The 23118-nt window shown below is 41.6% G+C and overlaps 1 protein-coding gene across 17 annotated transcripts in view, besides 4 other annotated features; it reads right to left on the bottom strand.

Moving 5' to 3' along the window:
- PALLD (palladin, cytoskeletal associated protein) overlaps positions 1-23118 on the bottom strand; it is a 431390-nt gene that overhangs the window by 104138 nt on the left and 304134 nt on the right. The gene's annotated exons all lie outside the window — the stretch shown is intronic.
- Positions 7164-7799: an enhancer, noted in NCBI's record as "NANOG-H3K27ac hESC enhancer chr4:169737656-169738291 (GRCh37/hg19 assembly coordinates)". NCBI's record gives its function as "activates a minimal SCP1, AML or CMV promoter by ChIP-STARR-seq in primed H9 embryonic stem cells {active_cell/tissue: H9 hESC(primed)}" and the evidence as "EXISTENCE:reporter gene assay evidence [ECO:0000049][PMID:30033119]".
- Positions 7800-8434: an enhancer, noted in NCBI's record as "H3K27ac hESC enhancer chr4:169737021-169737655 (GRCh37/hg19 assembly coordinates)". NCBI's record gives its function as "activates a minimal SCP1, AML or CMV promoter by ChIP-STARR-seq in primed H9 embryonic stem cells {active_cell/tissue: H9 hESC(primed)}" and the evidence as "EXISTENCE:reporter gene assay evidence [ECO:0000049][PMID:30033119]".
- Positions 20013-20666: an enhancer, noted in NCBI's record as "NANOG-H3K27ac hESC enhancer chr4:169724789-169725442 (GRCh37/hg19 assembly coordinates)". NCBI's record gives its function as "activates a minimal SCP1, AML or CMV promoter by ChIP-STARR-seq in primed H9 embryonic stem cells {active_cell/tissue: H9 hESC(primed)}" and the evidence as "EXISTENCE:reporter gene assay evidence [ECO:0000049][PMID:30033119]".
- Positions 20212-20506: an enhancer, noted in NCBI's record as "tiled region #8333; HepG2 Activating non-DNase unmatched - State 24:Quies". NCBI's record gives its function as "activates a minimal TATA promoter and a strong SV40 promoter by Sharpr-MPRA in HepG2 cells {active_cell/tissue: HepG2}" and the evidence as "EXISTENCE:reporter gene assay evidence [ECO:0000049][PMID:27701403]".

The raw sequence follows: 23118 nt of genomic DNA, 5'->3' as shown, positions 1-23118 counted from the left end.
TAAGAGGATTGGTAAAAAAATAAAAAAATAAAAAAATGTATTTCTGGACAAAGTTGACAAAGTAAGATTTTGAAAGTAAAGTTTTCAATGCAAGTGAAAAGAAAATACGGCAACCATAAATAAAGACTAAATTCAGGCCTCTTTAAAAGCCAGGCCTTCTGTAAATCATTACCTCAATTTTAGCAAAAGTCTCATTAGAGATTAATTTATTGGCAATGGGTATATGCATGTTTGGGCCCATTGTTGCATTTTGTTCATTAGCTTATAGGTGGCAACATTATTATTCCATCTTCATTTGTGGGTGGTACAAGTACAAGCTTGACATAACTTTGGTGTCATTGTTCCCTTGTTTGCCCACTGCATGTCACTTAAGAAAGCTTTGTGTAGCAATGAATAAACTGGTCTGACAAAAATTCTCTTCACAAACTGACTCCATTTTGGAGAACACAGACACAGTCTTTTAGCATCATGGAGGAATTAATTTTTGATTCAGTCACCTGCTTCGTTGTCATATTATGAACGAAGGCCCCTACATAAGCAGCCCTGGCAGAGCACAGTGGACACAAATACTGGCTTTTCTAGGCCAAGTAGTGTTACATAAGGAGAAAGGGATTTCTTTTTTTTTGAAATGGGTCCTGCTCTGTTGCCCAGGATGGAGTGCCGTGGTATGATCTCAGCTTATTGCAGTCTCCATCTTCTGGGATCAAGCCATCCTCCCACCTCAGCCTCCCGAGTAGCTGGGACTGCAAGCGTGCACCACCCCGTGGCTAATTTTTTTCTATTTTTTGTAGAGACAGGGTCTCACCACGTTGCCCAGTCTGGTCTCAAACTCTTGAGCTCAAGTGATCCATCCACCTGCCTTGGCCTCTTAAAGTGCTGGGACTCTAGGCGTGAACTACCTTGCCGAGAAAGGGATTTCTGATTCTTGAGCTGCTCATTGTTCAGAGACAACATCAGGAAAAATAGAAGAAATGGGCCTAGCAGTGTTCTCTGTTACAGTGACAGTAAAAATCGATGGGGCCAGCTATGGTTCCGTGAAGTCTCTTTGTCCATAATCTTAGGCAGGGCCAATTTATTCATTAGGTTCAGTGGGCAGGGCTGACACTTTGGGCAACCCAAGAAAAAATTTTAATTTTAATAAACCCAGAAGGAAAAAGTGAACATAAATAAATATAACAATGATGACCATATAATAATGAATCCAGCCTGGGTTACATTCATCGTTATACCAATACAACTATAAAATATAATTCTATTTTTTTTAATGGAGAAACGGACCCACAAAGGCAAAAGTGCCTAAGGCCCATGAAAGTCATAATGCAGCCCTATCCTTGGGTATCTGACATTCATCTGAAACTTTGACACTTTTCTTTCATTAGATATAAAGACAAGCTCTACCACCTATTCTCTATTTACCATTGTATTCTATGTGAACCTAAATCAGCAGGTGTCACAAGGTTTTAGAAGAAGAAAACAACCTCCAGTATTCTCAAGCTCTTCATAATCAAAGCGCGGAGACAAAAATCAGCTGTTGACAACAGGTGCTTTGCAGTTGTTCATTCATCTGGACATTTCTTTTATGAGTTAATTACTCATAGCTCCATGGTGAACAATCTGCACATCTGGGAAAATAAAACCGCCCACTGAAAGTGAATTACTAGAGCGTTGGTGAAACACAATAGTTAATTCATTTGGATACCCTTAAAAGGCTTAACAAAAATCCCTGAAGCACTTGGAAGTTGGACTCCGTGTCTGAAGAATGAGTTAGTATCAGGTTGAAGGCTGCAACATAGGAATATGTGATTCCAACTTCTCATTCAGCTCCGGACACTTCCCTGGGTCACCCAGTCTCTCCTTTACACAGCCACCTCTCCCAGAGCTTCCCATTGATCAGTATCATTTGACCTCATCAGCAAAATGCCCTGCTTTTCATTTAAGTGCCTACAGATTTCCTTTTCAATTTCAACTTCTTTGTGGTGAAGAGTACTTTGCTACCTGCCTCCCCTCCCCACCCCACCCCCTCCCCAAAAAGAAAAAAATCTAAAACCAAACAAAAGCTCTAGTATGTAAAACAATTCCTAAGCTAGGTTCATTATTATCACACAGCTATTTAGACTTTAAATATAACAAAGACCTCATCAGGTCCTGAGTCCTCTTGGAAATGAGGTCTTGAGACAAAATTCTCATACTCTCTTAGTTTCCCCATGTGTTCTGCGGAGGGGCTGGATGGCTGAGCTCTAACATTCCTTTCAGCTGGAGGGTTCTGGGATCAGGCCTCAGGCCAGCCCACCATGGCCTGGCACAGAACTTTCAGCAACTCTTCAAATGGGTGTTGGGGTATTATACAGAGCAGTGGGCTTCAACAACAGTCTATTGAGAGATGAGAAAAAAAATACTAAAACTTTTTTTTTTTTTTTTTTTTTTGAGACAGCGTTTTGCTCTGTTGCCCAGGCTGGAGTGTGATGGCACGATGTCGGCTCACTGCAACCTCCACCTCTCGAGTTCAAGTGATTCTCCTGCCTCAGCCTTCTGAGTAGCTGGGAATACAGGCACGCGCCACCATGCCCGGCTAGTTTTTGTATTTTTTTTTAGTAGAGACGAGGTTTCACCATTTTGGCCAGGCTGGTCTCGAACTCCTGACCTCAGGTGATCCACCAGCCTTGGCCTCCCAAAGTGCTAGGATTACAGCCGTGAGCTACTGCACCTGGCCTAAAACTTCTCTTTATACGTATATTCATCTAATTCTTCAAATTTTTCTCTCTTTGTGTATATCTGTATGTGTAATAATACATTAAACATGTATATATTTGTACATACATATATATACCCATATCTGCATACACACACATACATATACTTGATATTTTACCAAAGGGGATGAATGATGAAAAAAAAAATACCTTAGTATCCCATGGTTTTAAGGTAAGATGAAATAAGTAGAGAACAAATACGTAATCAACTCATCAGATAATGTTTTGCAGAGGACTTAGGATTTCCATTTCTAATGTCATGCTTAGCACTATTTGTTTCATAAACATACACTTTCACACATGCAAATTTAACTTCAGGTGAAATAATTGAGTCTATTTTCCACTACTTTGGGGAGGAGGATGGATTAGGTAAAGATAATTCCTTCAAATCATTCCTTTATATGGAGATTCAACTAAATACCCTCACTGTGAGTTACAGAGTAGATTACTCTGGGCATATCTTTATGTCTGCGACATTTGGAGCTTGGATGTTGTGGACAAGCAAAGCATGCGACTTGCTAAATCTTTTTCCATACTGATGTGACAGGAATCATAACCCAAAGAAATACAGAGACATTGATTACTCAATAACTCTTATTGCGATCCTCACTTAATAAATAATAGTATCATTAGATTCCTTCACTGGTATGACATACAACATTGCAAAATTTATATATGTCTGTCCTCCAAATTTTCACTGATGCAGGTAATTTTTGGAGTTATCTGTGTAACTATCATTCTCATATTCAAATAGAAAAATTATCACCTGGATACCTGGCTTCTGGAAGCCCATCATTTTATTTACTCAAAGTAGAAGTTCTTCCTCATACCTTTGGTCATAGTCAAGAGAATTGTCATCTGCTTGGGATACTTTAGGTGTATTTTCAAAAACTTTCACTGAACACCTACTGAAGTAATGCAAGTTCATGCTTAAGAGCTCATGCTTTGGGTGTAAATCCCAAGGCTGATACTTTGTCTAAATCTCAACATACGCACTTGTGATGCATATGTATCCATACGCATAACTGGCACTATTTCTCCATGTTCTTTTCTAGTCCTCAAAGCATAGCTATACAAATAGCTTGCAGTTTCACAAGGTAACTATTATTTTATCATTTATCATAAACATTCTTGCCTTCATAGGCTTAATTGTTACTAGTTTTAATTGCTGCGTAATATTCCATTGCTAGGTGTAAGGCTTTGGGGAAGTTATTTAACCTCTCTGTGCCTCAGTTTCCTCCTCTAGTAAAATGAGAATAATAGCACTGCACACCTGATTAATTGCTGCAAGGATTCAACGAGACTTTGGAAAGCATTTGGCACGGCGCACATGGCATTGCTGCCAATAAGTTTAGTTATTACTGAGAAACATGACTTCTGCCACTAAGGAGTTAACATTCTAAATAAGTAACTAGATGAAGCAGAATCACCTTGCCTAAGACAAGACTATAAATTGTCTAGAGCTCCTTCAAACTCTTAAGTCTTTCGAAGTAAGACTGATGGAAGTACTGTTTAAGTTCGCCACAGGAGAGGGGCAAGAAGGCAAAGGCAGCAAGTAGAGCTCTAGAGAACAGCCATTAAGGATTTAACTACTATTTTCAACAAAGGAGTTGGCTCTGGCATTAACTCTTTATGAGACCCTGCACGATTCACTTCGAGTCCTGTGTCTCCATTTTCAAATCTCCACTATAGAGGGTTGGATGAGATTACATTTAACATTCTATGATTACTCAATAGTTATTATAAGCCATCACAGGAAATTCTATAAATATATATTTACTTCTTTGCTTCTCCTCTGCTTTTTGACACCTGGGTGTGTAAATAATTTCTGCATTGTTCTAAGTCGCAATTAATTTTCCCTGGAAATGCAATAATTCAAACAAGCTGATTTATGCAAAATGCTTTCTAATCATTTGGAGTTCTTTATAATTACTCCCAGCAGTAGCGGGGTCACCAAAACAAAAGCATGGAAAGATTAAATGAACTGCTCTTTGTGAGAACAGTTTATTATGTGATCTCAATGTCAGGATTGGCTCCCAATTGCCATTCAGGGCTTTAGAAGGAGATCCTGATGCAGGTGCTCTGAATCTTCTCTTTAAACTGGGGTGCTGCTGATGACGGTGTTTAATCCTGGGCTGACTCTGCCAGTCTCTGGTTACCTCACATTATTCACAGCTATACCGGAGGAATCACACACACACACACACACACACACACACACACACAAATGGTCTCGGAGCCTCTGCAGTTACATTTTTGTGGGTGATTGTTTTTCTCACAAAAGAATTACACTTGCTATTTTTAAATAATTGACATTTTGCTATTTTTGCTAGCTTTGCTATTTTTAAATAATTGACAAGTCAAATCAGTAAGTAAAACAGTTCTGTAAATGGCAAAGTCTATTACAACATCACTAACTAGCTACACAAAACTTTGTGACTTATATTTGCTGGATAGGTAAACTCTGAAGCCTCAGTTCTTTCTGACTCTGGAATCCTGCCTCTTGCCTGTAAGCTTGTTCATCATCATCTTTTTTTGAAAGGCATTTATTATTGAAAAACACAAAATAAAGATGACAAAAAATCTACCTCTATGTATGTATAACACACTAGCACTATTTCACCATGTTCTTTTCTAGTCCTCAAAACATAGCTATACAGATAGTGTGTAATTTTACAAGGTAACTTTTCGTCATTATTGTATCATTTATCATAAACATTTTTTGCCTTCATAGGCTTAATCATTACCAGTTTTAATTGCTGCATAATATTGCATTGTTGAGATAAGAGAATATTCTGTGTATTTGACTTCTAAATTTTTTGTTTTGAAATTATAAAAAATATGCTATACTAAACATCTTCAGGCTTATACATTTCTTTTCCCATTTTGAGTTACTTCCTCAGGGCAAATACTGAGAAGTATGATTTTGAAGTCAAATACTCTTTTTACCACTATTTATTTATTTATTTGAGACAGGGTCTCACTCTGTTGTCCAGGCTGGAGTACATGGTATAATCATGGCTCACACAGTCTTGACCTCCTGGGCCCAAGCCATCCTCTCAAGCAGATAAGACTACAGGTGTGCACCGCCACGTCTGGCTTTTTCGAAATATTTTTTTGTAGAGATGGAGTCCCATTATATTGCCCAGCCTGGTCTCCAACTCCTGGGCTCAAGTGATCCTCCTGCCTCAGCCTCCCAAAGTGCTGGGATTACAGGCGTGAGCCAGCACACCCAGCCTTTTTTCCCTGCTCTTGACATCTATTGTTAAATTGCTTAAAAAAAAAAAAGTCAACTAGTGAAGCATTGGTAGGATGGAGCTTGGTCATTAAAATGACTATTCGTGGGCATAACACTGTGTCTCATTTTAATTTTTTCTTTGTTTGTGATAATAAACATTTTGTCATAAGCCTAACATTTTCTTGAAGCATGATCAAGGTAGCTTATTCAATAGAGTTTATATTTCAGTTTAAGTGGGGGGCAGGTTATTTTTGGAGCCAGAATACACTACATTGTAAGATCATCTACATGCCGTGGTCAATCTTTGTGTGTTCCCTATTTTGCACTCCAGTTTAGCTCTCTACCCAAACTCTTCTGGGCAGGTTCTGGTAGTTTCTGATTCAAGTGTGGGCTGTCCAATTTTGTATTTTGCATGAGAACAGAAGGATAGATTTGTTCAATTGCCAATCCTAGAGTTGCCAACAATTTAGTTATTGAGGGCTTTCAAAAGTCTTACCCAGGATGAATGTCTTCTATTTATTCCTAGTTGCAGACATAAGTAAATTGATTTCTTGGTTAATAGAAATAATTTCTCAATGTTGGTTTTGTAGGACAAAAAAAGGTTGTTTCAAATTATGTTTAGGAGTATCTGAAATTCTCCTTCCAAATCTTTGTTCTCTTCCACCCGTACTGCAAAAAAAGTATCAAAATAAGAGCAGCATTTATCCATAGGATCAGTGACATATTATTGGCCACTCTGGAGAGTTGGGGAGATGGTATTGAGAAGATTAAAACAAGTACTGACAGTTTCTTTGCGTAATTTGCCTCTTTTGACATCTTTTTCAGTAACTATCAACATATTTAAGTTAGACACTGTATCTAATGGACATTTAACTGGCTTGTTAAGAGGTAAGATTTTTCTCAAAGGATACAGTTATAATTCAGTGTTCAGGACATGTCTGAAAATGGGTTTCCAGATATTTCTGTTGGTTCTTGGAAACTTCCATCATCTTGGGCTAAAAGTTTCATGCATTACACATAAAGGGAATGTGATGGTGCGTCTAATGCACAACTTGCGTTTTTCTGTCTTTAACAAAAGCATGCTTATTATTGCCATTGCCACTGAAAGAGCTTCTAAACATCTCTTCAGACACATGTCTATAAAAAGCCAACAGAAAGGGATAGATACGATCTGTTTTTCTCACTCCAGCTGAAAGACCAGAGATACTTCTTTCCCTGTTTATTTTGTGGAACAAGTAAAACAAAAATCCTTTGCCCTTTCTTCTTTGCCTATTTTTACTCTCCGCAATTGCCTTGAGTCCCTGACACACTTCTATTCTGAAATACTTCAGCACTCACTTCCTTATTTGGTCGCTGGAACTGCTCTTTGTCTTGTTCAAACATTCTGCCAAGCTTGCAGCCTCCCTTCACCCCCGCCCCTTGCCCACGGCTCCCCCTTTTCTACACACACACACACACACACACACACACACACACACACACACACACACACACACACGGGGCTAGCTCCAACAGGTCACTCTGACTCAGCCTTCTCTGTAGCTCACTAGCCAATCCCCCATCAGTTATGCCCATTTAAGGAGTACCTTTTGGAAACCATAAAGGACCAGAGAGTTTTCAGCTGTTTAAAAAGACTGCTATGTTGCATCACTGGAAGTCACCGCAAAGCATGTATTTCACACAATTGCCCTCATCCTATGGCAGGGTATGTATTAAAAACAACCACCACCAAAAAAAACCCAAAAACAAAACTCCAGGCTGCTTAATTAGTGGTTACTTTATTCCTCAGTGTTTTGGCAGTTAGATTTGGCTGATAGAGGCAGAGTTCACTATCTGGTTAGTTGTCAATGTTCTCTAATCTATGATTCATGCCAAGCACTCCAATCTAATACTTAAAAAAAATATATATATATATATATATATATACACACATACACATATAACATAGGTCTAAGTAGATGTGCCAATAACACAAAGTAAAGCTCTGGGTTCCTAAGCGAAGAACACACATTTTCAATAAATGTTCCCTTTGCTCTCTTGTGTTGAAAACAAGCAGGCATTTGGAGTGCTGAAGGCTATTTTCTGGTTTCTCTGCTCAGATGTGAGTGAGGAAAGCACGGCTCTCTGCATTCCCTATTTAAGAAAGAGCTGTAATGGTCCCATCCAATAACACAGAGCAGTGTTTCCTTACATATAAACAACTGAGAAATTCCTTGGGCAAGCACATAGCCTTTTGGTTCCCGGAACAAAGCGGATGGTGGTATTCATTATGTCAAATAAACACATCATCCACACTCCAAAGGGAAACCTGAAACAATAAGCTGAACAAAGCAGTTTTCAAGGTTTTAATCCTCTTGCAATTAGCCCTTGTCTAACTCAACTGAAAAATTAAGAGTGAGCGATTTTCCCAGAAGAAAGTACCCTTAAGTGATTAAATATCCACAGTTTGTTCCCAATACTTGTTCTGAAAAAGAATTGGAGCTCGTTTTCAGAGGCAAGTAATCTAAACATACAGGATATCCTATCGCTTAGTATTATTTCTCATTTAGCCACCGAAAATGGTCTGTACCTTCCCTCGTCCACCGTGTTAATTCCTGCAGCCCTGTTACTGGGCAGGCATTGGGCTATCCGCTCCAACCAACCTTTATAGTTTCCACTTTGATCAGAATAAGCAGCAGATCAAATCCTATAGGAAGCACGTTCTCTCCCTGCCTTGTTACCATTCAGTCGATTTTGCATATTTGTGTTCACCATGGTGACCAATGTGGAAATAGTGTTTAGCTTATGAAATTCCCAAAGTGTATTTCCCTATTTTATGGAGGACAGTTTTAGACTGGCTTGGATGCATTCTTGTTGGAGGAAGACTCAAATCCTTCTTGGATATAGGCAAGGTGTAAGTGACAAATATACTTTCAACTATTTCCACCAGTTAGAATCTCAACGAGCCTGGATGTGCCTTACAAAGTGACTTGTGGGTTCAAACTTGTTTAGGTTTTAGAGCACATGGAAGTTGTGAATGTTTGCACACTATTACACTTCATTCTATTACAGGAGCACCAAGCAATTCTGCTAAAAGAAAATGATGCTAGTGTATGCCTGCAATATTGAAACAGTCACAAGCATATGTCCATGAGAAATGAAATCTGTCAAAGCCCTTCCAAGTTAATTTTAAAATGTTTACATTTGCTCATTCATCTTGTTCTTGAAAAGAAAAATGGCAGAGGTCACTAAAAGATTAAAATATTCGCCGGGCACAATGGCTCATGCCTATAATCCCAGCGCTTTGGGAGGCCGAGGCAGGTGGATCATTTGAGGTCAGGAGTTCAAGACCAGCCTGGCCAACATGGTGAAACCCCGTCTCTACTAAAAATACAAAAATTAGCAAGGCATGGTGGTACACAACTGTAATCCCAGCTACTTGGGAGGCTGAGGCAGGAGAATTGCTTGAACCCAGGAGGTGGAGGTTGCAGTGAGCCGAGGTCGCGTCACTGCACTACAGCCTGGGTGACAGAGCGAGACTGTGTCTCAAAACAAACAAACAAACAGAAAAGATTAAAATAGCCATTGTCTTTTAGGAGAAAAATTTTAAATTGAGAAAATTATAGACATTCGGGAAAGAGGGTCACTGTTCACTTTCAGCCCAGTGTCTTCAGAAGCATCACTGGAGAACTGTTGGAATCAAGAACCTAGTCCAAGACTTGGCTTAGAGACCTGCACTCTCCTGCCGTTTTTGCTGCAACGCAGTTATGTCGCTTTTGAGGAAGTAATTTCGTCCTATGAACCTTATTTTCCACATCTATAAAGTACAGACCTCATTTTAAATCAGAATTCCCAACATGGTTCGGTTTCATCCTAACAGAAATTATACAGTTGCTTAAGGCAGTCCATATAATCTATTAGTTAATGCATTTCCACCCTCATTGTCCCTGCACTGCTGGTAGATATATTTGATACATAAATTAAGGGATTCAGAATTTCAATTCTTAGTGCAAAAAAATCAGGAATTGGTAGATTGAAATGATTTCAAATAATTTCCCCAAATCTTAACTCCCAAACTTTCAGGACAGTTGGTTCTTATATTTTTGGTGTGTAGCCTTCACACTGATAATTTCCAAATTCAGCCAAAATTTTAGGCTTAGACTCAACCTTTCTCATTGTTTTCTTGGGATCAGTCTCAAACTTTCTGAGACTGGTTTGGAACGTCTCAAAAATGCTGGCAAAATGTATTATTGATAGCGTCTTAATACATTTTTTTGTTGTTGCTTCATCCCACACTGTCTCTATCGAATTCAGAGTTTACTTTAACTTGATTCTATTTCCCATCACTGAAATTCCTCCCACTCTCATCTTCCCCTGGGCTCAGGGATATCCTGAGGGATGCTGTGAGGTTCCATAATGAAAAGGGGCTCAGAGATGTGGGGAGAAGGTTCCTTATGCACACATTATTTGGTTATAATAGCCTTTCCAAAGCTTCATGAATGATTTGTTTTTTGAGGGAGGTCCAAATATTATACAGATCAAGTTTACCATTTAAAATATATCCAATTATGCGAGACAGAATCATACAGCAGCTCACATCTGTAATCCCAGCTACTGGTGAGGCTGAGGCAGGAGGGTCACTTGAGGCCAGGAGTTTAAGACCAGTCTGGGCAACACAGTGAGACCCCCAACTCTAAAACATTTTTTAAAAATTAGCTGGGTGTGGTGGCATGTGCCGGCAGTCCTAGCTACTGAGGAGGCTGAGGTGGGGGGATTGCTTGAGTCCAGGAGTTTGAGGCTGCAGTGAGCCACGATCACACCACTGCACTCCAGCCTGGGTGACAGAGCAAGACCTTATCTCTAAAATCAACCAACCAATCAACCAATCAATCAGATAATGTTATTTTTGTTGTTGTTGTTGTTGTTCTGTAACTGCCTTGCTCCAAAGCAGGGGAAGAGATACATTAAAAGCCCTTCTTTTATAGCCCTTGTTTACCTAGGAAAGTGTTGGGCATGATGTAGAGTGAAAAGCACTAACTTGGAAGTAAAGAAGATATGTTAAATTCCATGATTCCACTAAAATCAATAATACTTTCATCATATAATCTCCTCCTTACCTTCTACAGGCTTGAATTTTTACTGGGAGTTATAATAATTTGAGGAAAAAATACATCACCTCGGTCATTAAACATGTGGTAGAAAATAGATTCAAATTCATTTCCGCCCCCCCCAAAAGTACGTTTTTCAAAAGAAAGAAAAATTCCAGACTTAAAGAACCACAGGGACACTGAGCCCTTCTGCAGCAGCATTCCAACCATCAATTTGCCTCTGGGGAGGTCCCTCAGCTCCAGGCCCAGCATTCTTTCAAACAGCCTGGGATCTCGCTGATGAATCTACACGGGGGCTGGGGACCAGTACAAATTTTAGGCTTCCCTCTAATTTCCACGCCCACATTTATACTCCAGGTTTTGATGGGGAAAGAAGGAAAATAGTTGCCATCAACTTCCCTACCTTTGTTTAAGTGCAAAAAGAGACACACATACACTCTTCATTATAAAACTTCACATGAATGAGTACAATTGAAGGCTGCTTTCCCAACTTTGACTCTGAATCTCAATACTTATCAAGGAGGCCTGATTGTGAATGTAACATGCTCAGAATGTCTTCACTCTTAGGAAGAGCTGCAGAAATATCTCCTGAGATGGAAAATCTTTGCAAACTAGCAAGCAGGAGAGAGTGTGTAACTTAAATCATCACAGCGATGTGCTGGAAACGCATTCTCGCCTGACATCTGGCCATGACTCAGATTGCCATCCTGGAGGCTTCTTTGCTAAACTTTCTGCCCAACTCCCTGTTCCATAGATGCTGTGCTCCTTGTCTCTCCAGGCAGATCAGCCCTATTTGACAGATTCTGTAATTACCCATAAGAGGCCCAAGGGAGATGTTTCTGTGTATACAGTGCCCCGACAAACCAAATTAAGCTAACCACCTTCATGAAGCAATAAACAGAAAGCAGAGATTCTTAGATACCCCTTACTAATCGTCTGTACTGCCGTATTTCTAAGGAGGCCAAGCTTGGACAAGGGGGTTGGGAACAATCCTAATTGGCTCCAGGCCACAATTTGTGGTTAGTTTCCCTAACACAAAAGTCTAGTCTTTGTCTTGCCAATCTAAGAGAATAAGGAGAGTTTTATAAAGCCATTTATTAATATGTTTCTCATCAGTCATCATAACCACTCTCACCTCATGTTCTCTTCTTTTATGGAAATACGTTTTTTCCTTGATGTCCTGCTTTATACTTTTGGCCTTTTCTATATTGTCAAACAAAAGTCCCAAAGCAGCTCCATAGCAACCACCTTTCTTATCTCACTCAACAGACCTTCAGGAAACAGGCGAGGGTAGGACTGTCACCTTCACCCAATATTTTGATATGGTTTTTATACTTCCATTTGACACCCCTAATATCCAACGCTGAACAGAAGCCACCATAATATCCAAAATTTCCTGTTTCTCTCAATTCAATAAATGTGTGTGTGTGTGTGTGTGTGTGTGTGTGTGTGAGAGAGAGAGAGAGAGAGAAAGAGAGAGAGAAAGAGAGACAGGGTCTTGCTCTGTCACTCAGGCTGTTATGCAGTGGTATGATTGCGATTATGGCTCACTGCAACCTCTACTTGCTGAGCTCAAGTGATCCTCCTGTCTCAGTCTCTTGAGTAGCGGGGACTACAGGCACATGCCACTATGCCCGGCTAATTTTTTAAACAATTTTTGTAGATGAGGTCTCACTATATTTTCCAGGTTGGTCTCATACTCCTGGACTCAAGAGATCCTCCCAGCTTGGCTTCCCAAAGTGCTGGCATTACAGGCATGTGCCATCATGCCTGGCCAGCAGTAAACATTTTTTGAATACCTACTGATTAAAAATACACTTCCTTATCTACTCATGACAAAAGAGAATCAAGATATTAATCTTTCCTTCCAAGCAGACACACACACAATTCCACTCTAAAACAGCCAGGTGCTAGTAGAGAACAAAAGGAAAGGGAACACAGGTATGACGGCAGTACTGGAAAAACACCAAGACGCTCTGAGAGTGGATCCTGAAGAATATGTTTGGGATGTCACTTTACATGTTGGCTGAACCACGAATCCAGGCAATTCTAACTCTTTCGGTTGTCCACAATCTTATTAGTTTTTTGGGTGCAAAGTTGATTCCTTGGAAGATTCACTGTAATAAATGCTGCTGTTCTCTCCCATTCTCCTTAAGTCACCAAATCTCATGTCTTTCAACATCTGTTCTATCTAGGAGATCTCCGTCAGCTTACCTGTGAGCACTCAATTTTTTTGTCCTTAACCTCTGACTTTGGAGGGGAAGTATTTCCATTCCCTTGAAATACTACCCAAGCCCCAACTTGTGGTCATGGTCCCACTCCTTCCAGACTCCTCCAGGGTCCACATCTAACTATCATACTTTGGCTATCCTGAATTTTCTTCTTCTTCTTCTTTTTTTTTCTTTTTTTTTTTTGAGACGGAGTCTCGCTCTGTCGCCCAGGCCGGACTGCGGACTGCAGTGGCGCAATCTCGGCTCACTGCAAGCTCCGCTTCCCGGGTTCACGCCATTCTCCTGCCTCAGCCTCCCGAGTAGCTGGGACTACAGGCGTGAGCCACCACGCCCGGCCTTCTTTTTTTTTTTTTTGAGACAGAGTTTTGCTCTTGTTGCCCAGGCTGGAGTGCAATGGTGCGATCTCGGCTCACTGCAACCACCACCACCTTCTCCTGCTTCAGCCTCCTGAGTAGCTGGGATTACAGGTGCCTGCCACCATGCTTGGCTAATTTTTTGTAGTTTTAGTAGAGACGGGGTTTCACCATGTTGGCCAGGCTGGTCTCGAACTCCTGACCTCAGGTGATCCACCAGCCTTGGCCTCCCAAAGTGCTGGGATTACAGGCATGAGCCACCATGCTCAGCCTATCTTGAATTTTCAATCCTCAAATCTCCTCTTGTCAATGGGCTCCTTACAAATTTCTCTTATGCTAAGAACATCTTTCAATGACCTGGCTTGGTGATCAAGAATCATTCTTTCTCTTTCCATTCATCACCAAATGTTTTAAAAACATGGTCTATATATGCTCTTTTCCCATTCTTGCTCTTTTCCTGTTCTTCTCTCTTTTCCCGTCCTCCTCTCAACCTCTTACGATCTTGCTTCTTCCTCTCAAATTATACCAAAATGCCTGAGAAAGTCCTCAGCAGCCACCGAGACACCAAATCTAATTCCTCTTCCTAGTGCTCCCCCTTAAGATCTTCAGAATGTTAATCTTTAGAATGAGCCCTGTCTTCCTCAGAGGCTGACCTCCACTCCTTGCCCCCACATTGTTCTCTCCACCCTCCTTCTATTAACACTTCCCTGACTACTCCTTCTTAGCTGTGTTCATCAGCTCCATTTTGCCCCATGTCTGATTTTTTTTTCTTTTTTTTTTTGAGACAGAGTCTCTCTCTGTCACCCAGGCTGGAGTGCAGTGGCACAATCTCAGCTCACTGCAACTTCTACCTCCTGGGTTCAAGCAGTTCTCATGCCTCAGTCTCCCAAGAAGCTAGGATTACAGGCACCTGCTACCACGTCTGGATAATTTTTGTATTTTTAGTAGAGATGGGGCTTCACCATGTTGACCAGGCTGGTCTAGAACTTCTGGACCTCAAGTGATCCACCCACCTTGGCCTTCCAAAGTGTTGGGATTACAGGCATGAGCCACAGTGCCCAGCCCCACGTCTGGTTCTTGAATACAGACATTTTCCAGAGTCTGTCTTTAGCCCTCCTCTCTTCTCAGTCTAAGACTTTCCCTGGAGCATTTCTTCTTTCTTATGGCCTTATGTTTCTCTCTAGGTGGATAACTAAAACATGTCTTTAGTCTTAACCTCTCTTCTGAGTTCCAGAAATATCTTTCCAACCATTGCCCTCCAGCCTGGGCAACAGGGTGAGACCCTGTCTCTCCAAAAAAAAAAAGAAGAAGAAGAAGAAGAAGAAGGATTTATAAGGGAAAATTTAAATAAAAGTGGGAACACAGAGTGGAAAGCAGAGCACTTAAAGCTGTTTTACCCTGAGGGAATTTCTCAGAAGCTAGAGAATGAGCTTCAGTTTTCATGGCCTCATGAAAACAAGAGACAGAAGACAAAACCCAAGGCTGGCCTGAGGTGAAGAGGCTAGTCATAGACCATTCCCTGTAAAGTGAATGAGAAACAGCAGCAAAAGAAACTCACCCACAAATGCTTCCAATATTGGATGTATTAGACATAGGGTATATAAAAATGACACTGTGTTTAAATAAATAAGAGGATATTTTTTCATCTCCTGGTTCAAAAGATGGTAGTCCACCCACTGCAAATGCTTAAAATCCCTGGCCTGCTTATATACTTGATATGGTTTGGCTGTGTCCCCACCCAAATCTCATCTTGAACTGTACTCCCATAATTCCCACATGTTGTGGGAGGGATCCGGTGGGAGATAATTGAATCATGGGGGCAGTTTCCTCCATACTGTTATTGTAGTAGTGAATAAGTCTCATGAGATCTGATGGTTTGATGAGGGGAAACTCGTTTCCATCGGCTCTCATGCTCTCTAACAGTGCAGCCATGTGAGATGTGCCTTTCACCTTCTGCCATGATTGTGAGGCCTCTCCAGACATGTGGAACTGTAAGTCCAATAAATCTCTTTTGTAAATTGCCCAGTCTTCAGGTATGTCTTTATCAGCAATGTGAAAACAGACTAATACAATGCTTTATGTTAAGCTTCTCTGGATGTGCTTCCTCTTATGTATCTACTCAATTTTCAACACAAATATGTTTTTTTGTTTTGTTTTGTTTTTTTGAGATGGAGTCTCGCTCTGTTGCCCAGGCTGGAATGCAGTGGTGCAATCTCGGCTCACTGCAACCTCTGCCTCCCGGGTTCAAGCAATTCTCCTGCCTCAGCCTCTTGAGTAGCTGGGACTACAGGTACACGTCACCATGCCTGGCTAATTTTTTGTATTTTTAGTAGAGACAGGGTTTCACCATGTTAGCCAGGATGGTCTCGATCTCCTGACCTTGTGATCCGCCCACCTCAGCCTCCCAAATTGCTGGGATTACAGGCATGAGCCACTGTGCCTGGCCCCCCTTATATTCTTATATATATTAATATATTTTCCCTTATATTCTCATATATATTATTATATTTTCCTCTTATATTTTCATGGGCTTACTGGGATATGTAGTACTTATATTACACATATGAGATATGTTTTGTTTTTCCCGCTGAACTGCTAGCACTTGACACTCTAAATCTTCTCTTAAAACAAAATCTCTGGGCCAGGCACAGTGGCTCACACCTGTAATCCCAGCACATTGGGAAGCTGATGCTGATGGATCACCTGAGGTCAGAAGTTCGAGACCAGCTTGACCAACATGGTGAAACCCTGTCTCTACTAAAAATACAAAAATTAGCTGGGCATGGTGGCGCATGCCTGTAATCCCAGTTACTCTGGAGGCTGAGGCAGGAGAATCACTTGAACCTGCCAGGCAGAAGTTGCAGTGAGCTGAGATTGCACCATTGTACTCCAGCCTGGGCAACGAGAGTGAAACTCTATCTCAAAGGAAAAAACGAGGCCAGGCTTGGTGGCTCACGCCTGTAATCACAGCACTTTGGGAGGCCAAGGTGGGCGGATCACCTGAGGTCAGGAGTTTGAGACCAGCCTGACCAACATGGAGAAACCATGTCTCTATTAAAAATACAAAATTAGCCAGGCATGGTGGCGCTTGCCTGTAATCTCAGCTATTCAGGAGGCCGAGGCAGTAGAATCGCACGAACCCACGAGGCGGAGGTCGCAGTGAGCCCAGATCGCGCCATTGCACTCCAGTCTGGGCAACAAGAGTGAAACTCCGTCTCAAAAACATAAAAAAGAAAGAAAGAAAAACATCTCTGAATGAGTCTCAATATGTTGCACAGTACTTTCTATACAGTCAGGAATCAGGAAGTGCTTGTTGAATTAGGTTAAACTGAGTATCATTCACTGTGTGTGTGTGTGTGTGTGTGTGCGTGTGTGTGTGTACTCATAGCTTTTTATTGGCCCCCAAATTTCTCCCTAAAGCCTTTAGTCTCATGAATCTCCTCACCACTCCTGCAAATTCCATGCCCATTTGTACCTTCTAACTTTTACTTAGGTTGCTTTCTTTACCCTCCTCTAATCTTTTCCCCTTCCTCCTGCTTACCAAGAAGTTATCTTACTTATTTTGTTTCTGGCTCTCATCGCCCTGGGTATTGAAGTGTTGTGGTTAGGCACCGTGGAGTCCGCATCTCGGGTGCCAGCACCCAGCACAGCTCCGGGCACGTGTTTAGCACTCCATATGCATTTGTTGAAAGAATAAGTGAAACTACATATATGTATGTGTGTAAATGTGTGTGCATATACATGTTTATACACATATATGTGTATATATATATACACACACATCTCTATACATCTTGTCAGCCCAAATAGGTTGTAAACTCCAGGAAAATAAGAACAAATATTTTGCTTTTAAAAAGTACTCTGCAAATGTAACTACTGCTTGATAAAAAGGATCTATGCTAAACGACCGCTTCTCCCAGCTGAAGGCAGACCATCTACGTTACATTTTTACTCAGTTAAGAGCAAACAATAATAAGTGAATAGCAGCCTGATTCTGTATGTTAAAAATGATAGGTGATTGAATCTCAAATGTATTAGTCTGTTCTCACACTGCTATAAAGAACTATCTGAGACTGGGTAATGTATGAAGAAGAGAGGTTTAATTGACTCAGAGTTCCACAGGCTGTACAGGAAGCACGGCTGCATGGCTGGGAGGCCTTGGGAAACTTACAGTCATGGTGGAAGGGTGAAGGGGAAGCAAGCACGTCTTACCTTGGTGGAGTTGGAGAGAGAAAGAGAGCAAAGGGGGAAGTGCCACACACTTTTAAACAACGAGATCTTGGCTGGGCTCACTGGCTCACACCAGTAATCCCAGCACTTTGGGAGACGGAGGTGGGCAGATCATCTGAAGTCAGGAGTTTGAGACCAGCCTGACCAATGTGGTGAAACCCTGTCTCTACTAAAAATACAAAATTAGCCAGGCGTGGTGGCACAAGCCTGTAATCCCAGCTACTTGAGAGGCTGATGAGGCAGGAAAATCACTTGAACCAGGAGGCAGAGGTTGCAGTGAGCTGAGATTGCACCATTGCATTCCAGCCTGGGTGACAGAGTGAAACTCCAACTCAAAAAATAAATAAATAATAAAATACACAACTAGATCTTGTGAGAACTCACTCACTATCATGAGAATAGCAAAGGGAACGTCCGCCCCCATGATTCAATTACCTCCCATCAGGATTACAATTTGATATGAGATTTGGGTAGGGACACAGGGCCAAACCGCATCATCAAAGGACTATACAATGAACATTAATTGATATCTACTAAGTTGTGCTAGATACTAGGTCAGGTACATGGGATACAAATCTAATAAATGAGATAAAATCCCTGCCTTTAAGAATCTCACATTCTAGAGAAGCAGGGAAATCTATGACCTCTAATTGCAAGGTGCTAAGTGCTGTAACTTACCAGGAGGTAAAACAGGTAAGGCCAAAGCAATTACCTCTGTAACAGGGGAGTCGGGGGCTTCTTGGTTTACAAAGGAGGTCTCTGCAAGGATAAGCATGTACGAGTTTAGGGGTGGGTGGGAGAAAGGGCATTCCAACTGGTGGAAACACACGCACAGAGGCATGAAGTTGTGCAAGAGCCCTGCATGCTTAGAACAGTGAAAATTAGTTTGAACTTAACCCCAGAGGAAATTCAGGCAAGTTTAAGCATCGGATTGGACCGAGAAAAGGAAAGGCTGCTTTGGGCCTTAAATGAGAGAAAAAAATTCCTTAAATAGTTTTACTTTCTCTCTTCTCTTATGTCCTTCTAACCAGTATTAGGGTTCACATCTGTCCCTCCCTTAAAGCAAAGCTTACCTCAAATCTCACATTCTTTAAGAGAATGGTTACTAAGAAACCGTATTAGAAATTCAGCCTAGAGACTTAGGAAATGCTTGTTGACCTATTCAATACTAACCCTCTAAATACACAGCAGGGGCAATTTAGCCTCCCATCTCAAATTTTTGAGTAATGGTCTCACTTTGGGAACTCTTTTTTTTTTTCTTTAGAGTTTCACCCTGCCACCCAGGCTGAGATGTAATGGCGCAATCTCGGCTCACTGCAACCTCCGTCTCCCGGGTTTAAACGATTCTCCTGTCTCGGCCTCCTGAGTAGCTGGATTATAGGCACCTGACACCAAGCCCAGCTAATTTTTGTATTTTTAGTAGAGATGGGGTTTCACCATGTTGGCCAGGCTGGTCTTGAACTCCTGACCTCGTGATCTGCCCGCCTTGGCCTCCCAAACTGTTGGGATTACAGGTGTGAGCCACCACACCCGGCCTCGCTTTGGGAACTCTTGGAATAAAATAAGCACCTTCCAGTTCTTTTCCTTCACAGAGAAAATATACATCTACCCATTTTTACTCTGAATACATAACTCTTGTGGTGAAAAGAACAATTTCTTTTAGGACATTGACAAAGATTTGGTGTTGTGGATCAAACTATAATATTTACTTAATTAAAGCCAACAGAAATACTAATTTCCATGCTTACTTAATAGTAGGTCAGGTGTGGGTACATGCCTCTGAAAATAGGTCTTTGCAACTGTTTAACTGTCACTGCCTAGGGCTGCTGCCCCGATGGGCTGATGGGGGCCTATTTGTTTACTTTTGCATCCGAATTTGTCATCACCATGAGCCAGAAACATCACATACTGGCAGAGGCAGAGACTCATAGGATGAGAAGGGACTTTAAGTACAACTGTCAAAGTTTTTTAAACTACTATGTATTGAACAATAATAGGCTTGAAAATCTGAAGATTCTCCTTGTAGTTCCTCTCCTATAGTTCCTTGTTCCTTGACTGGCCTCTGGCTCTCACCACGTAGGTGAAAAAGCAGCTGGTTTCTGGCCTATACCAACTTGTGGGCAAATATATGGAGCCATATCCCAGGGGCCTCACTAATGAGTTGTGAAGTGCTGCATGTTAGTTGCAGGGTTAATATATTTCTAGTTCGCTCTACACAGAAGGAACATACCTCTTTCTTTTATAAGAAAAATTAAATCTGTGAGGATACATTTTCAACCTGGGGCTGTTTTGGGCAGTACTCTCAAGGGCAGTACTTATGTCATTAACATACATTGTTCCCACACCAGTGAGTAACAATGTAAAAAGCCAGGCCTGTTTACAACTGTAACAGCTCTACACTGTAAATGGAAAAGAAAAGGATGACAGCATACCACCAGCAGAGACATGCCTGAACAGCATTCCCAGGAATCCTTTAGCCACAGGAAAAACAACTCCAAACAAGCAACCCTCCGTCCAGCACAGGGTGTAAATTAGCTTCTGCTGACAACACACTTCATACACCGTTTTGCACTGAAGTCCTCTCCCATGCCAAAGACAACAGAGTGCTCTCTAACAACATGGGGCCCTGGCACTGTCCTTTAAACCCTCACGGTTACTGCGCATGAGAGAGCCAAAATGAAAATTTTTAAATTCCTTGGACAATTTTCCTTTTTTCTTTTTTTTTTTTTTGAGACAGGGTCTCACTCTATCACCCAGGCTGGAGTGCAGTACGCCATCGTAGCTCACTGCAGCCTCAGAATCCCAGGCTCAGTCCATCTTCCCATGTCAGCCTCCCAAGTAGCTGAGACTGCAGGCGTGCGCCATAAAGCCCAGCTAATTTTTTTGATTATTGGTAGAGACAGGGTCTTTCTATGTTGCCCAGGCTGGTCTCGAGTTCCTGGGCTCAAGCAATCCTCTCACCTCAGCCTCCCAACAATTTTCTTTTTAAAATTTTTTTCAACTTTTATTTTAGATTCAGGGAGTATATATGCAAGTACGTATCCTCCTTGCTGTTCTCATGATAGTGAGTGACTTCTCACAAGATCTGGTTGTTTAAGAGTGTGTGGCACTTCCCCCTTTGCTCTCTCTCTCTCCAACTCCACCATGGTAAGATGTGCTTGCTTCCCCTTCACACTTCCACCACGACTGTATGATTCCCGAGGCCTCCCAGCCACGCAGCCATGCTTCCTGTACAGCCTGTGGAACTGTGAGTCAATTAAACCTCTCTTCTTCATAAATTACCCAGTCTCAGGTAGTTCTTTATAGCAGTGTGAGAACGGACTAATACATTTGAGATTCAATCACCAATCATTTTTAACATACAGAATCAGGCTGCTATTCACCTATTATTGTTTGCTCTTAACTGAGTAAAAATGTAATGTAGCCCGGGCACAGTGGCTTACACCTGTAATCCCAGCACTTTGGGAGGCCAAGGTGGGTGAATCACCTGAGGTCGGGGGTTCGAGACCAGCCTCAGCAACATGGAGAAACCCCGTCTCTACTACTCTACTATAAAATTAGCCGGGTATGGTGGCACATGCCTGTAATCTCAGCTACTCAGGAGGCTGAGGCAGGAGAATCGCTTGAACCCAGGAGGCAGAGATTGCGGTGAGCCGACATGGTGCCATTGCACTCCAGCCTGGGCAACAAGAGTGAAACTCCGTCTTAAAAAAAAAAAAATGTAATGTAGATGGTCTGCCTTTAGCTGGGAGAAGTGGTCATTTAGCATAGTTCCTTTTTATCAAACAGTAGTTACATTTGAAAAATATTTTTTCAACCCATGTCCTCCCCGCACCAACTCTAGTCGTCTGCAGTGTCTATTTTTCCCATGTTTATGTCCATGTGTGCTCAATGTTTAGCTTCCACTTGAAAGTGAGAACATGCAACATTTGATTTTCCATTCTTGTGTTAATTCACTTAGGATTATGACCTCCAGTTCCATCCATGTTGCTGTAAAGGATGTGATTTCTTTTTTATGGCTGCATAGTATTCCATGGTGTATAGGTACCACATTTTCTTTATCCAATCCTGGGACAATTTTCAGTGGGTGTAAAGTTTGTACCTCTGAGTGAGCCAAAAAGCAGTTTCCTAGTTCACGTAGATTTGTTTGAGCGATCCTATTGTTATGTAATATCTCTTGGTTTGTGGTGCTTGATCACTAAACTCTGGCTATGTGAGAAGATTCTAGAATTTAGGCCATGATATTGACTACACAGATAAAAGAGGCAGCAGTTTTTCTCAATGGAGCATTCCCGAGAAGTAACTCCCCAATTTTGTAGGCTCTCACATACTTCTTAAATGATGAGTGCACAAACAAAATAAAGTTATTGTGGCTGAGGCTGCTAGCTACTAACCTAATTCCATGTTCTCTTCTTCATGGAACATGGCTAGACTACTTTTCTCAGCCTATCTTGCAATTAGAACTCTTACAAATCAATAAGAAAAAGGCAGAGCCAAGCATTATCTAGTTGTTACCTATGCCACTCTCACCCTCTGGCTGAAGGAGAGATTCTTCATTTGTTCACATGGACCATGTCCTAGAGCTGGTGTTATTTATGGGGTGTTCAGGTGAGCAGCAGGCAGGTTCCCTGACACCCAGCGGTGCCTCTGCAAGCACGACGGGGTGTTAATCACAAAAGGAGAGACATCTTAACCCCTTTAATTACTTTACTTGGGTGTGGATTCTTAGTGATATCCTACTTTATCTGGGGGACTTGGGGGCAGGTCGTTCTCTTTGTCTTGTAAGCAATTATTTAAGATAATTTCTATCTGCACGTCTTTTAAAAAAATATTTACAGGCTGGGCGTGGTGGCTCACGCTTGTGATCCCAGCACTTTGGGAGGCCGAGGCGGGCAGATCACGAGGTCAGGAGATCGAGCCCATCCTGGCTAACGTGGTGAAACCCTGTCTCTACTAAAAATACAAAAAATTAGCTGGGTGTGGTGGCATGCGCCTATAATCCCAGCTACTCAGGAGGCTGAGGCAGGAAAATCGCTTGAACCCGGGAGGCAGAGGTTGCAGTGAGCCAAGATCGTGCCACTGCACTCCAGCCTGGGCAAGAGAGTGAGACTCCATCTCAGACAAACAAACAAACAAAAAAATTTTACACTTTAACAAAGAGTTATAGAGCAAACACCCAGATTGTAACCACTGCTCAGGTAAAAAAATAGAACAGAAGATTCCTGTGTG

Source organism: Homo sapiens, chromosome 4, assembly GCF_000001405.40.
Source record: "Homo sapiens chromosome 4, GRCh38.p14 Primary Assembly".
In the NCBI taxonomy this organism is placed as follows: Eukaryota; Metazoa; Chordata; class Mammalia; order Primates; family Hominidae; genus Homo; species Homo sapiens.
Note: the sequence above shows the minus strand (reverse complement) of the source record. Positions and strands in the feature narration are given on the sequence as shown.